This window comes from Homo sapiens, chromosome 11 (genome assembly GCF_000001405.40).
Source record: "Homo sapiens chromosome 11, GRCh38.p14 Primary Assembly".
Taxonomy (NCBI): Eukaryota; Metazoa; Chordata; class Mammalia; order Primates; family Hominidae; genus Homo; species Homo sapiens.
The window spans coordinates 87293968-87310833 of record NC_000011.10 but is presented as its reverse complement, the minus strand read 5'-3'; the positions used below and the strand labels follow the sequence as shown (position 1 = coordinate 87310833).

At 36.9% G+C, this 16866-nt stretch overlaps 1 protein-coding gene across 5 annotated transcripts in view, besides 1 other annotated feature; it reads right to left on the bottom strand.

Moving 5' to 3' along the window:
• The window catches only part of TMEM135 (transmembrane protein 135), a 290891-nt gene that overhangs the window by 17991 nt on the left and 256034 nt on the right, over positions 1–16866 (bottom strand). For all 5 annotated transcript variants that reach the window (NR_033149.2, NM_022918.4, NM_001168724.2 and 2 more), the window contains 4 exons: positions 15011–15052; positions 8392–8538; positions 4829–4898; positions 1162–1329 (listed from right to left, as the gene is read on the bottom strand). Coding sequence is in view for 4 of the 5 variants with exons in the window: in NM_022918.4 (NP_075069.3) it covers positions 1162–1329; positions 4829–4898; positions 8392–8538; positions 15011–15052 (427 nt within the window). In the remaining variant the exon portion in view is untranslated. The remainder of the gene's footprint in view (positions 1–1161; positions 1330–4828; positions 4899–8391; positions 8539–15010; positions 15053–16866) is intronic.
• Positions 9594–9643: an enhancer, noted in NCBI's record as "active region_5375". NCBI's record gives its function as "activates an Ori minimal core promoter by ATAC-STARR-seq in GM12878 lymphoblastoid cells {active_cell/tissue: GM12878}" and the evidence as "EXISTENCE:reporter gene assay evidence [ECO:0000049][PMID:35858748]".

Here is a 16866-nt window from a genome sequence, read left to right as displayed (position 1 = left end):
TAAGGCAAAAGTGAGCAATTTGTGATTGTAGATTAAAAAAAAATCTATTTTTTTCACAGTCATAGAGGCTGGGAGTTCAAAGATCACGGTATGCTCAAGGTTCGCTCCTTCTCTCTCCATGGCTAGCAGATGGCCACCTTCTCCCTGTGTCCTCACATGGTCATTCCTCTGTGTGTGTATATGTTCTAATCTCCTTTTTTTTTTTTTTTAATTGCAACTTTTTTTTTAGATTCGGGGGATACATATGCAGGTTTGTTACAGGGGTATATTGTGTGGTGCAGAGGTTTGGGGTATGATTGATCCCAATACCCAGGCACTAGTTTTTCAATCCTTGCCCTGCTCCCTCCCTCCCTCCTCTAGAAGCCCCCAGTGACTTCTGTTGTCATCTTTATGTCCATGTGTTAGGTCAACATTAATTAACACACTTTACCATTTAGAGATTATATTCAGATTTAGAATCTTTTAAGCGTTTAATAAAATATGATTTACATATTAGTGATTCCATTATGCAAAAGGCCATCACTTAAAGTTGCAGAGTACTAGGTTAAGAATGATCTCTACATATATGTTTAGGCGTGGGCTTATATATGTATGGACACTTTTATAGGAACATACAGAATGGGGTGGAAGACTGTGAACTCTGGTTATTTGAGACAGTGTAGTAGGAACTGTGAGTGGGTGGAAGAAGGGACCTAAGTCATTGCTTATATAAGTTACAATAGAAAATCCTCACCGATTCTATCAAGTGTTTATTTCAGCTAGAAAGATCTGAAATACATTTAAATTAATAACCAGGCAGTAAATATGATAAAAAAATAAATAAGCCAGGCATATTAATATCATTTTTGATATTGGAAATATCCAAAAAATTCATATTTTCTGAGTGTCTATATATTGAAAAAGAAAATGAGTCTGACAATGTGTAATACCATATGTAAATGCAAACATGTCTACACACTCGAGTATATTAAATAATATTTTAAAAGAAGAAATTTCTGTACCCTCACTTCCCAATATATTGTATAGATTTGGTTATGTCAAGATATGTATGAATATTCCAGAAAGAAGCATTAAAAAATAAGTGAACTAAGGCCATCTCTCATTCTAACAATAGCAATGTTATTTATTTCCCATTTTTCTTTCCTCTTCTAAAAGCCTTACCTTGTATATACTAACAAAAGAGCCAAGAAAAGCTCCAAGCTGGAAGTTTTCTTTATTGTAGAAGAGAGAAAGTAGCCGAGATGGCTGTGTAAACAGATGCCTAAATGCAGAAGGGATTCGGAGGCAGCACTGGATCAAGTACCCCACGCTAAACATTCTGATGAAACCCTAGAGGAAATTTGGAGAAAAACCTGATTTACAAACAAATTTTGAAGTTTTTGATAGAATACGAATTTTACCATCTCAAAATAGAAACAAGACAAAACAAATTTAATCTAAGTTTATAGCACAGCAAAATAAAGCCTTAAAACCTCAAACAATAATTTTAAAACAATTACCTTAAAAATAAGAGTGAAATCTTGGAATGAGTTTACTTTCTTTGATTTACAAAGACTTAAAAAGTCTCACAAGCACTGGCCAAGCTTGCCTATGCACCAAAATTCCATTTCTTGACATTTTGTTGACAATAATCAGGATTTTAAATTCCTAAACCACAAATGAGTTTTACATACAAAAGCACTAAAATTCCAAAAACTACTTAATAAAACCAAATGCTCTTGAAAATGTTAACAGAAAACTGCTCTTAATGATTAGCATGAGTAGGGATTATTTTCATAGAAAAATATTTTCATTATTTTTTCAGACCTTTGGTGCTAACTTTTACAATGGTCAGGTAAGAAGAACTTCCAGGGGGCAGGGGGTGCAGAATTATGTCTAGGTTTTCATTCCTGTCGGGCTAAAACATCTCTAGGGAGGAGTAGCTTTAAAGTATATTAAACTAAACTTGAAAAAGCAAACCCACTACAAATCCATATTTGCTGTCAACATTTCTCTATATTTCCTTCAACTGTCCATAGTGCAAAAGAGATTTGGAGAGGATGACTATTACTGGTCAATTTCATTTCTGTATTTAGGAAGATGAATTTTAGATGTCTGAGAGACTGTAAGTAATTAATATTGAAACTGAAAAATTTCAATCAGCATAAAACATTAACAAAAAGAATAGTACTTTCTGTACAGTTCAACCAATACATTGTTAAAACCGGTGTCCCATCCTCCTCCTCTCTAACTCTGACTGGAATTGGAAAATATCTACACTCATAGCAGTGTATGCCCAAAAGTTAGGTTTGTATTTTCTGGACTGCAGCTTTCTTTTCCAGAAAAAAAAATTAATTACTATGAGGAAACACTGGTTAATTTACCTGAAACTACCTAATGCCTTATTAAAACACAAAATCAAATTGTCCAATCAATTACTGTGAATTCTCAAGCATTTGCTTAACTGAAATTGCCTAGTATTTAAATGAATGAAATGGTCACACTTTCATCTTGCCATTGATAACCTTATAATCTAAGGATTTAGGGATTATAATTACATTACAATCTTTTTCATGCTATTTTCAAGAGAACTATTCATCCACCCATTAATGTACTTAGAAAATATTTGCTGAATGCCTGTTATCTGCCAAACATTACACTAGATGCTGGGGATAACAGTGATGAGGAGGGCACAGAGTTCTTGCCTTTGTGGAGCTTTCATGCTCATTACTGGAAAAGAAAACAACTAAGTAAACAAATACAAAAGATTATAATAAATGTTAGGAAGGAAGTAATCAAGACACTAGGATAGACATTAACAGGGCAATCTATATTAGATTAAATGTTAAGGGCAGACATGTAAATGATATGACATTTAAATAGACCCAAAAGAGAAGAAGCTAGAATGAGAAAAACATTTCAGACAGCTCAGACAGAAAACATAAAGCCAATTAAGAGGCTGGCAGGTATAAGGAACCAAGAAAAAGTTAGTGTGAATGGAGTACAGAATGTTGAGGACAATGTAATTAATATGAGTATTTATTCAGGGATGTGATTTAACATATGGTGTAATTAAGTTTGTAAAATAATGAGGTCCATTGTCAAAAAATTTCACTACCATGTTTATGGTTTAAATTCCTCACCCACAGGTCTCCAATAGTTTTACATTCATGGATATAATACGGCATTCCAATGTATACATAAATTGCCAAGTTTACAGTACTGGTACACATTTGAAAGAATCACTAGTTTTTTATTGCTTGGAAATTCTCACTAACTTTCTCATACAATTTTTTTAATATCACCTTCCCCACGCCAAATTTCTCAAATACCTCTGATTTAATCCAAATACTCCTCTTAGTTCCCCATCTAAAGTTTTCCTTTGAACTACAATCATGTTCAGTTGGAAGGAATAATAAATCCAGGTTATCAGCTGACTTGGACTGCCAGCAATGTTACTTTTTTTTTTTTTTTGGCCACTTTAAACTGAGGCAGGAAATCAAATTTGGAAAGAGTGTCAGAAAGTATTGCACAACTGAGGAACAAAACAAAACAAAACCCTACTATTTTATCCTTGGTCATTTTGGGGAATTGTGAAGCTAAGTGTGGGCTGGGCTAACGGCACTGTCAACACTGGGCCATAGATGTTTACCTTCATGAGCACTAATGTGGGACAGTTCCTCCTTTCTAGAGTAACCACCAAGGGGCTGTCTTTTGGGGTGCTGCACAACTCTGTTCTTCTCATCATCAACTGAGTAGAGACTAAAATTGCAAGAAGAACATAAACTTTCTACAGCATTGGAACTGTTAGAGCACCATTCAAAATAAAGGAACTTGGCCGGGCGCGGTGGTTCACACCTGTAATCCTAGTGTTGGGAGGTCAAGGCAGGCAGATCCCCTAAGGTCAAGAGTTCAAGACCAGCCTGGCCAACATGGTGAAACCCTGCCTCTACTAAAACACAAAAATTAGCCAGGCATGATGATGGGTGCCTGCAATCATCCCAGCTACTCAGGAGGATGAGATGGGAGAAGTGCTTGAACCTAGGAGATGGTGGTTGCAGTGAGCTGAGATAGTGCCACTGCACTCCAGCCTGGGTGGCTGAGCGAGACTCTGTCTTTAACAAAAAAAGAAAAAAAAACTAAAGAACTTGCAGCAGGTGGTGCCACCTGTGCCATGCTGACTGCAAAGAAAATAACTTTCTTCTCAGAAGTGGTGGTGATGGGGGAAGGGAGGAGGGACAACACAACAGCAGGGGAAGAGGAAGAGACACACTAGTACTCAAGTCCACTAGGGAGTCAAGAATTTATGCCAGGCATAGTTAGCTCTCTTAATGCAGAGCAACTGTGGACATGCTCCAGTTATCTCAATGGCTTAAAAAAAAAAGTAATAGTTTTACAAGTCCAAAATTAAATGCCATTGTAACAGACTTGGCACAGTGCATACAGTGTATGTGTGTGAGTGCTGATCCAGCTAGCACACAGCACAGTCTGGGAGTCAGAGTCTTGTTCTAAGATGTAGTTCTAATGAGGATACATTACAAAGTACAAATTTTAATGACTTTATGTTTCCTTGTTGTTATCCCATCTTATCTTCTATATCATAAGTTTTAATTAAGCCAATTTTTAAACAAGCTAATTTTTTAAATTATTTAAGGATCTGGTAAGTGAATACTAAAAGCTAAATCGTCACCTATTGTCATAAATTTCTCACTCTTGAAGTCAAATTCAAAGAATGATAGCATTTATTAATGTCAACTTTTCCATTTATTTTTAAATTATTTCTAAATAAATAAATAATTTCTATACCCATTCCCTACTGTTAATAAAGTACATACTTTCATATACTTACTTTAATGCAATAAGAGATGCAATTATCTTCATAATGTTTGCAACATCTATGCCTTGGTCCATGTTTGCATCTGAAATTGAACCCAAAAAAATTAAACTAATTATAATTAAAGTGTGTATATCCATGTGTTTGTACATGTTTGTGGATCTGTTTAAAGCTTTCTAACCAAAAAAAAAAAGAGAGAGAAGAAAACATCACTTTATTTATTTATTTATTTATTTATTTATTTTGAGATAAAGTCTCGCTCTTGTCCCTCAGGCTGGAGTACAATGGGCGTGATCTCAACTCACTGCAACCTCTGCCTCCCAGGTTCAAGCGATTCTCCTGCCTCAGCCTCCCGAGTAGCTGGGATTACAGGCGCCTGCCACCACGCCCAGCTAATTTTTGTATTTTTAGTAGAGATGGGGTTTCACTATGTTGGCCAGGCTGGTCTCGAGCTCCTGACCTCAGGTGATCCGCCTGCCTCGGCCTCCCAAAGTGCTGGGATTACAGGTGTGAGCCACCGTGCCTGGCCCACTCACTACTTCTAAATGTGTGTCACTTTTGGTGCTTTAGGAGATACAGAAGCAAGAACAACATATATTTTTGCTTTTTCTACTTGCTGCTTACCATTTGACACATTGTATAAACTATGTGACTGCAGTCAAAATACTTGAATACGGACTGGAGAAACCACACTGTTATTTGTGGTTAAATATGAAAAAATATGTATATATTATATATATACTCTGCCAAGTCTTTTGGAAACCTTAAATTGCTTATTGTAGAGTATATTGGTAATAAATCATCCATGAAGTCAGTACTTGAGCAAAAGTCATAATGAGAACATGCTCAGGTTACAGGAATTTATACTTAATTAGATTTGAGAGAAAACATCTGGAAAAGAAACATGATATAGTATTAGAATTCAAAATTCAGTTGAAATAAATATAGAAATAGAGATCATGTGGTAATTCAAAAGTAGCTAATTTGTGATTTAATTGTAAACCACTTAACCCTCCAGTGTTTAATAAATATTTCTGCTGGGAGGACTACTGTTCAGGATGCACTCATTTTAGTGGTTTAGCATGTTAAATCCAAGACTATTTATTCACCTTAGGCATAAAAAAGTAAGCAGAATATCTAACATGGGTCTAGCTCTCTCTCTCTTTGAGGGTTCATGTTCCAAAATAAGCGGTCTTTATAACTTCTTTCAGATTGTAGCTAATTAATTATTTTCATGGTTGAACCACATGAATGTTTTCCTGTTTATAACAATAACTTGCAGAGCAATGTTCTGGCTCTGCACTTCTCCAATCCCATTCGCAAATTGATTAGCAAGACCTTTACAGAAATCCAATTCTGCACTACAGCTGGAGCATACAGCCTTTCCTAGTCAAGGGTGACAGCAACAGTTCAGTTCACACTGGCCACAGCCCTTATATCTTTAGAATGCTAAGGCATATCTGGCCATGTGAAGCTGTTGAGTGATTAAAGCTGGAGACCTGACAAGCAGTGAATAAGAGAAAGGCTGCCTCAGGCAAGCCATCACTCTTCACACTTCTAAGTGTCCACTTCAAAGATATTTCTCAACCACTGCTACCAGAACTACACTGAAATTTGTTAAGTTTCCTTTTTTTTTCTAAGTGATGGGGGTGTCACTCTGTCACCCAAGCTGGAGTGCATTGGCATGATCATAATGATCATAGATCACCGCAGCCTTGAACTCCTAGACTCAAGCAATCCTCCCACCTCAGCCTCCTGCGTAGCTAGGACTACAGGCACATGCCATCAATCCTAGCTAATTTTTAAATTTTTTTTAGAGGCAGGGTCTTGCTATGTTGCCTAGGCTGGTCTCAAACTCCTGGCCTCAAGTGATTCTCCTACCTCAGTCTCCCAAAGTGTTAGTTTTACAGGTGTGAGCCACCATGCCTGGCCTAAATTTTCTTTGCTAGTGAAGTTAAATCCTGATATCAACCGTACTGTCAATTAGTCTTTCTTAGTCACTCATAAATGGCTTCCCAGCACCTGGAATGCCTGTCTCTTGTATTATTTGCTTTGCTTCTGTAGTATTCTGCATCCACTTTCATACCAGAAGATCCACTGAGGCTACTATGATACGTTCTGTCATGACCTGATCAGTTCTGACGCCCAAGGCATCATTCACCCATATAATTCATTCTCTGCATTCCCCTCTGATTACTGTTGAAATTATTTCCATTAATAGGGTCCTTTCTCCCTTTTCTCCACTGAGGTAACCCAAAATTATTTTTGAACTTGTTTAATAAATTCAACTACCATAATTATTCCTGTTATCTTCTAGATGTATTATTTGTTAAGATGAAGACAAAATCTTTAAATTCAATAAAAATTTGAGTACGCTCCCTGTGCTAACATTTTATGTCAGGCAAGTTCATAAATGTTATCTCATTTAATGCTCACAGCAATTCTTAATAGAGATTATTAACCCCAGTTAACAGATAAGAACTTGGAAATGCATAATGGTTAAATCTCTCGTCCAAAGTTACAATGCTGGCAGAGGGAAAATAAGAGTGAAACATAGGTTTTCTAATTTATTAAAGGACCTCAGCTTCCTATAATTCAATGGTCCCCAACCTTTTTGGCACCAGGGACCGGTTTCACGGAAGAGAATTTTTCCACTGACTGGGTGGCTGGAGAGGGGGGTGGTTTAGGATGAAACTGTTCCACCCCACATCATCAGGCATTAGATGCTCATAAGAAGCACGCAACTTAGATCCCTTGTACGCGCAGTTCACAATGGGGTTTGTGCTCCTATGAGAATCTAATGCCACTGCTGATGTGACAGGAGGCAGAGTTCAAACGGTAATGCTCACTGGCCTGCTGCTCACCTCCTGCTGTGTGGCCAGGTTCCTAACAGGCCTCGGACCAGTACTGGTCCATGGCCCAGAGGTTCAGGACCCTTGCTATAATTGATCCCCTAACTTTCTTTATTGCCTACTCATTCCACCCTCTCTAAAATATCACTACCAAGATTTTATTGGTTGATAATCTAATTTCAAACTATTAAATTTATTTTCTTAAGTATCTATCCTAGAAATATAAATGAAAATTTGTATGAAACATGATAGCTTCTTTTTATAATATACAAATAAAAACATTTCAGTTTGAGAACCCCAAAAATTTTCACTCTTACAAAATATCCTTTACTTAAGGGTTATCCCTTATTATTCCTTAATCTTCTTCAATCTCTCTCAGGAATTTTGCTTCCTTCTTTCCATACTTGGCATATTAAATCAACACATAGTAATCAGTTTCCTGAAGTTCTCCATCATAGCCTCCTGTAATTCTGCCTGGTTTGAAATACAAAAGTATTCCAATTTTATGCAAACCTCTTTTAAAGGCATATGCTGGTCTACAGTCCTGCCAGAAATAATAAATAATATTCACTTGCCATTGTGTGCCTTTTATAAAATTCTATGCACAGTTTCTGGTGAAAAATGATCATCATTACCTGAATAGAAAACAAAAATAACCTTGGCATGGTACAAATATCATATGAAACAGTGACAAAGCAGGTTAAAATATCAAGATAAAGAGCTCACATTGAATCCACAAATTTCCTGACTAGACCAATCATATTCATTCTTCCGGGTTTTTCCTCATGTTGCTCTCTCTTTTGTTCCACTTTTGCATATGCTGCCTCTGGTGAAAAAGAATGTGTGGGAATTTCTTCCTTCCCTACAATGAACCTAAAGAAAAGAGCACAATGTGAGGCATTTTTCACTTAAAAATAGTCAATGAGGAAAAAAAAAAGACTTTGTTTATAAACAAATACGCTTTGGCAAGTATTTTATCATTTGAGATAGTATTTTCACAATTTACATAAAATCAAATCATCCTATGAAGAAAAATAGACTTTCAAAATCTGAATACTCAAAAAAAATTAATAGTCATTTGTTTGATAATGCAGGTATTTAAAAATCAAACTGACCAAGTAAAATACAGCACAACACTTAATGAAGCACCCTTTAACTTGGGACACTGAGTCATAAACAGCTGCAGCACACTAGGTCATCTGTATTCACACAGGGAAACACAGGACAGTACAGACCAGGAATCAGAAAACAGTCAGGATTCCCCAAGTCCTCATATTATTTCATTAGAAAATCTGAAAGCTGATGTTATTCTAATCTACTTATTTTTCTTTGGAAAAATAAAATATCTAGAAAATAATATTCCTATTTCAACAAAACTAGATTATATTTTTCCAAAGACGATGAATGGAAAATATTATCACAATTAGATATCCCTCAAGAAGTATCCTTTCTCAGAGTTTGCAGTATCACTGTTTACACCTATCCTGTAAGAGTCATTGCCCTTATAAAGAATAACTAAGCTTTCCCAAGGCAATACTACCTTCCAAGCTTTCCGAAAATATAGTAAAATACAGATAGAACGGGATCAATAACAATACACTAAAAGTCTGGAACTTGAGCCAGGCATAGTGGCTCCTGCTGTAACCCTGGCACTATGGGAGTCAAGGCAGGACAATCACTTGTGGCCAGGAGTTCAAGAACAGCCTGGTCACCAAAGTGAGACCCCACCTTAACAAAAAAATTAAAAATCAGCTGGGCATGGTGGTGTACGCCTGTAGTCCCAGCTACTTGGGAGGCTGACGTGGGAGGATTGCTTGAGCTTAGGAATTAAAGGCTACAGTGGGCTATGATCATGCCACTGCACTTCAGCCTAGGCAATACAGTATGACCCTGTCTCTTTAAAAAAAAAAAATGTAACTTGAGACCTGTGACAAACAGAATATGAAAGTGTAAATACTTAGAAAGAAAAAGCTGTTACTACCAACAACTGCAACTCATCCTGTTCAGACAACCTTGGTAAAACATCTAGCTTATCAAATCATAAGGGGTGTGCAAGGGTTTTGTTTGTCACCAGATGGCAGCTGTGAATCTTTGGTAGCTGTCAGTTCAAATGAATTTGTTTCTTACTTACGGGTGTACATAGAGAGTTTAAGATCTGCACTGCTGTTCTTTATCAGCAACAAGGGTAAAACTATGCCAGAACAGATAGAACAGTTTCTCTTACACCTTTCATTTACTGTTCATTTACAGGATTTACTGTTTCAGATTAGAGGTCACTTCCTTGGAGAAGCTGGCCCTGTCCCAGGCCAGAATAAGGGGATAATCTTTCTTCTGTGCTAGGAGAGCCCAATGAACTGCCAGTACAGTAATGTACGTGCCATTTTAGTAGACTACATCCCCTACTCAACTGTGAGGCCTGTGAGACCATGTATATCTTCTTTGCTGTTATATCCCAGCATCTAGCATAGTGTCTGGCACATGGTAAATATTTAATACATATTGAATGAATGAATGAATGAACATAGTAATAGCTAGAATTTTCTGAGCATATCTTATACGACAGGCACAGTGCCAACTGAGCCTTTTACAAATATAATTAATTCATGTAATCCTCACAACAATACTATAGGTGTCACAATTCCCACGAGAGTTGGCATGGTTAAGTATCTTGTCCACAACCAATAAATTATCAGTAATTATTTGAACCCAGAATTGTCTGGCCTAAAGTTTGGCTTCTTAAACACTAAGCTACATATATTTCTAACTATGTTTTAAACTATGATGAATAAGGCTAGCGCACCTTCAGAGTCTCACACTGGCTTTTCTCCCGTGGTTGTGTTCTTGACACTATTCTTTTGACTTCTACTGTTATCTATATACACAGATAATTTTCAAATCATCCTACATACAGTTTCCAGAGGAAGCTTCCCAAAGTGCGTATCTGAACTGACTACACATATCCTCAAAGAACTTCATGGGCTTATGGCCTACTGAATTAAATACAAACTTTTCAAGCTTAAATCAGTATCTGGTGCAGAGTGAGTGCTCACTATAGAAGCTATTATTATATTACAATTAAATGAACTATTTGACATTCTCCAAATAAACCATGCGTCTGTATTGCTCTTCTTATCTGGATCATTCTTCCCTACATCTTTACTAAAAATCTTATTTGTCTTTTAAAATTCATCTTAAATGCTCCTTCCACTCTCTCATTCCCACTCGCCCCCACCAGAAAATAAAAGTATTAATAATTTGTGAATTATAGAACACTTAACTTCTATTATTACATTTGGGTTCTTCTAGTCTATAAGTAATTTTGTGCAAATTTCCTGCTTTCTTCTCTTCATTTACTCCTATCCACAGCTTGGGGAAAGACGCTAGGTAAGGTTTGCCTAAAATATATTCCTGAGATAACCTACACTTCTCTTTTGCAACATTTCAGCACAGTTAAAATTAATGCTGTCTTCCCCACTAGACCATAAGCTCTCTGAGAACAGAGACTATATCTGGCTCATTCCCGAGTGTATTCTTAATACTTAGTACAAGACCTGGGGCAGAATAAATGTACACTAAGTATATCTATCAGTGAATGTTAGCTTTGTACCTCCTGTATTATCTCACACTTGTTGAGGAGTGCTGATATGGTTTGGCTCTGTGTTCCCACCCAAATCTCATCTCGAGTTGTAATCCTCACATGTTGAGGGAGGGACCTGGTGGGGGTGATTGGATCATGGGGTCAGTTTCCCCCATGCTGTTCTCATGATAGTGAATTAGTTCTCAGGAGAGCTAATGGTTTTAAAGTGTGGCACTCCCTCACTCTAGCTCTCTCCCTCTCCTGCCACCTTGTGAAGAAGAAGCCTGCTTCCTCTTGGCCTTCTGCCATGATTGTAAGTTTCCTGAGGCCTCCCTAGCCATAAGGAACTGTGAGTCAATTAAACCTCTTTTGTTTATACACTAACCAGTCTTGAGTAGTATCTTTATAGCAGTGTGAGAACAGACTAATACAAGTGATTTTTAAAAAGGTGCTAAACTGAAGTAAAGTTTTGTGGTTTTTTGGTTTTGGTTTTGTTTTTTTTGAGATGGAGTTTTTGCTCTTATTGCCCAGGCTAGAGTGCAGTGGCGCAATCTCGGCTCACTGCAACCTCTGCCTTCTGGTTTCAAGCAATTCTCCTGCCTCAGCCTCTCAAGTCGCTGGGATTACAGGCGCCCATCACCACACCCAGCTAATTTTTTTGTATTTTTACTAAAGACGGGGTTTCACCATGTTGGTCAGTCTGGTCTCAATCTGCTGACCTCGTGATCTACCTGCCTTGGCCTCCCAAAGTGCTGGGATTACAGGCGTGAGCCACTGTGCCCGGCTGTTTTTTTTTTTTTTTTTTGAGACAGAGTCTCACTCTGTCACCCAGGCTGGAGTGCAGTGGCATGATCAAAGCTCATTGCAACCTCTGCCTCCCAAGTTCAAGCCATTCTCCTCCCTCAGCCTCCCAAGCATCTGGAATTACAGATGCCCACCACCATGCCTGGCTAATTTTTGTATTTTTAATAGAGACAGGTTTCACCATGTTGGCCAGGCTGGTCTCTAACTCCTGACCTTAAGTGATTGCCCGCCTTGGCCTCCCAAAGTGCTGGGATTAGAGGCGTTAGCTACCATGCCCAGCCTGAAGGAAAATTTAATATTTTAAAGCTTTTTAGCCTTTGTCTAATTAGGACACATTAAACTGGAGTACTTTGTAAATATTTGTCCTTTATGGATAAAGGACAGTTTTCCTCTGAGAGAACAATGTATGTTTTCATGATACAGCAATTATGATCTGTATGAGATAAGCACTTCCTTAAGCCATTTTATGATTGTATTCCTTTCAATCTCACCATTCTCAAATGTATCAAGCTCTGAGTATCCTTTCCTCACCAAAGTTTAATATTGTCAGGAGCTCATATTAAATTGTGCTACAAAAAGCATTTTCCTTTCCCATTCCCTTTGTAATTAATATTAAATTTTGCACTTTTGACTTGCTATAAATTTACAGCATACGTCTACAATAAAAATCACGACCGCCAGGACTGCAAAGAGGTAGCAGGAAAGACATGTCAGATAATACTTTTTGAAAGCCTACAAGAAGCACACATATTAACTCACATTATTTTTTTACAATGAAACTTGACAATAAAAAATATATTTGGCTTTTAGTAACATTCTTCTGAGAATCAACTTTATAAGTTTGAGATTAATTCATGTGCAATGTGGTGAGTCCATATTCACCATATAAATGCAAGAAATAGCCACATTTCTTGAATCCAAATTCACCACACTGCAGATTGATTACGAAACTGAATTTGCTTAGTGGAAGGAGATGCACAAATAAACATGACCATTCACAATAGTTAACAATTGTCTTGCTTTAGCAACAAGAATATTAGCAAGAATTAACAAACATTTTTTCTGGAATATTTTTCTATAATACAGAGAAAATTTAAGTGCAAATAGTCCAAACTAGCCCTCTGTTAAAAGTGGATTTGAAGAAAAGACACAAAACCATCTGACACATTTTAAGTTTTTGCAAGAATTCTGGGAGTCTAAGGAGATGTAGGAAAACAAGACTAAGTTTTTCCTTCTCTTTTGAAAACCTAACTTTTGTTTTTGTTATCAACTTTAAACTTAATACCAAATGCTTTCTAGCCAATGCAACAACAATAAGAAAATCTTTATTTTCTAATAAATTTCATGATCTTTTACTGAAAAATAACAGTAATTAGTGTTGTGTATTATGACTTAGAAAGTTATTGTTCCCACAGAGTTCTCACAACCAAAGACATTCTTATCATACAGTAGACTCCATTTGTTCCCTCCCAAACCAGTTTCCTTGCATGCCATGTGATTTTCTGTTAATAGCACCTTCTTTCAGGCACTTTGGTTTTCAATACGTGGCTGGGATTGCAGGGTGGAGGGGAAGAGAAAGAAGGAAAATATCAGTCCTCATTTTCACTCATTACAAGTCTTAACTTTTTCTCCTTCTCTTTAATCCTCCCACTATCACCCAAATTCTAGTCTTTATTGTCTTTCCACCTTCTGGTTCTCTCTTTTTCAGTGTCTCAAATACTGCGGCCAGACCAATCTTTCTGAAACAATGTCAACCACCCTGCTCAAAAAGCATTAGTAGCTCCCTACTGCTGACCTTATCAAATCCAAGTTTGTCTTTTTTCTCCCCTAGGTCTTCCATAATCTGGCCCTACTCTACATATCAAAAAATATTTTATATTCCCTAATATAAACTTTTCATGCCATTTTCTCACTGTTACCTCACACTTCATTTTTACAATTTTCACTCTCTTGCTACTATTATTCACTTCCACCCAGAGTGCACTTCCTCTTCCCTGTAGTTATCGAAAGCTATCCTTAAAGTACAGTTTAAGGCACATCATCTATGAGAATATAACAAAAATAATATCCAACATTTCTGGAGTATTTACTCCATGCCAGCCACTGTTTGAAATATTTTTCACATATTGACTCATTTGATCCTCAAAATAACCTTGAGACAATTAGGTAAAAACTTTTGCTAGTACTGAAGCTTTCCCTAATTTTTCCCTTCAATATTTGCAGTAAAAACCATACTACTGATCTTCACCAAGCATCTACTATATGTCCTTTGGATTACAAAACAGGCAACATTTATGATATAAACTAGACAAACACTGGGTATGGAGTCAGTATATATAGTTAACTTGTGTGATGTTAAATTAGTCAAATATTCTAAGCCTCAGTTTTCTCATCATGTTACATCTCACAGAACTGTTGCAAAAATTTAATTTTCTAATCTATGAGAAAATTCTTGGTGAACTATAAAATATAATGCTAATGCTAACGAACATTTCTACAGTATATACTATGTGCCAATTGCTATGCTAAAAGATGGGCTATGAGGTGAAAAGACTCTAGTGATACTTAAAATCGAATCTGTGTTTGACAGTACATGAGTCCTGCCCTAAAGCAAACCCATAATCTAGTACCACACAATTAAATACTTAACTTTTCAGTAATTGTTCATGAGCAGCTCTGTCTTTCCAAGCTCCCTGAAGTGAGTTCTTGTATTTCTTTTCAAATACCCCACAGTAGAAAGCACACAACAGGTCCAAAAGAAGTCGTTGATTAATTTTTAGAGAGAAAAATCTGACAAATTACTCTTTCAATGAGCTATTTATCCGCAGGCTTGGAAATACTTTTGTGAATTCTAAAATTATTTTCAGTTTAAATGCTTAGTCAATACCTATTTATTGTAATTATGTATAATTTTTTAAGTTAACTTGTAAATTCTCTCTCAACATAAAAATAAATGTTTCTTACCTAAGTGCAGAAAATGTAAATCCTTTCAAGCCATCCTTGCACCTAAAACAATAAGAATTTACAATCATAAAATAACATATTTTGAGATACAAGTACCTATTCAATTTTTTTCTGAAAATAATGTTTTAAAAGATGAAACTCTTAAGGCAAAAATCTGAACATTATGAATGGTCAAAAGAGCAACAAGCAATGAAGTAAGTCACCTTACACAAAATGATTAATATGATAATGCCTTCCTATGTCACATTAACATTACTTAGAGCTCAGCTCTCAAATAGGCAGGTTGAAGAGAGACTTAAGTAAATCTAAGGGCTCCATCTGGACTTAAAATGAAGGCTGGGAGTAAAGCAGTCTCTACAAATCCCTAGGGGACCAATTTGCTGAGAAGAAAAAGACCACATACACCTGGTGGGTGTTATATATAGATCAATTCAAGGTCCTGACTTCGCCCTACCTATTAAATCAGTGAATGCACAGTATTCATAATATACAGTTGGCAGGCACAGAAAGGTTTCAAGTTTAGTTCAACAGTTTTAATTTCTGATTAAGCCCAATTAGAACAGATCACAGAGCATGAAGAACAGAGTTGGGGTGAGGGGAGAGCAGAAAGACAGGACTCTAAATGGTATTTATTGAGTGCTCACTATAGCTGGGCACTGTTTTCAGCTCTTTATATGTGTTGTCTCATTTAATCATATCACTAAACTGTATGAATAGAGATTTTTCTCTATTGCATTGCTACACAGAGGCTCAAAAAATGCAGTAACCTAGGTCACAAAAGTAATAGCAGTCAGAATTCCAGAATTTGGGGGCTGGAGGGGATTGTCTGACTTTAAAAGTTATGTATTTTTCTTATATATCCTCCTGAAACAGTCTACTCTCTTCAGCTGGGGAAGATTCAAATTACATGGTAGTTAAGAAAAAAAGATTCTCAGATTTGCAAAAAAATATTTAAACAAGATCTTAAAATGGGGACATTACTATGCCGGCTTTACAACATTCTGCTGCTGTTATTCAGTGTCTTTGTTCTTCTTTATAGCTATGATCACCTTAAACAAAGGGACTTTGAGTATTTATTATCAAAATCCCTTGAATAAATCTATAAAGACACTGGATATTCTTAGATAAAGAGTAAGGCCTAGGCCGGGTGTAGTGGCTCACACCTGTAATCTCAGCACTTTGGGAGGCCGAGGCCGGCGGATCACCTGAGATTAGGAGTTCAAGACCAGCCTGACCAACATGGAGAAACCCCGTCTCCACTAAAAATACAAAATTAGCCGGGCGTGGTGGCACATTCCTGTAATCCCAGCTACTCGGGAGGCTGACGCTGGAGAATCGCTTGAACCCGGGGGGCGGAGGTTGCAATGAGCCAAGATTGCGCCATTGCTCTCCAGCCTGGGCAACAAGAGCAAAACTCTGTCTCAAAAAACAAAGAGTAAGGCCTCAAATATAACAGGGCAATTATTCCTCTATGTCTTCTGTAGGAAAGGCCACAAAGGAAATGCATAAAAATTTAAGAAATCTATTTTAATCAAAATCATATACATTTTTATTAGATGCAGTACAGAATCTGAGAAAATAAGTTAATCCACATGCCCAGAGATGTTTTAAAACAACCCCATCAAAAAGTGGGCAAAGGATATGAAAACAGACACTTCTCAAAAGAAGACATTTATGGAGCCAACAAACAAATGAAAAAAGCTCAACATTAATGATCATCAGAGAAATGCAAATCAAAACCACAATGAGATACCATCTCATGCCAGTAAGAATGGCGATTATTAAAAAGTCAGGGAACAATAGATGCTGGTGAGGCTGTGGAGAAGTAGGAATGCTTTTACACTGTTGGTGGGAAT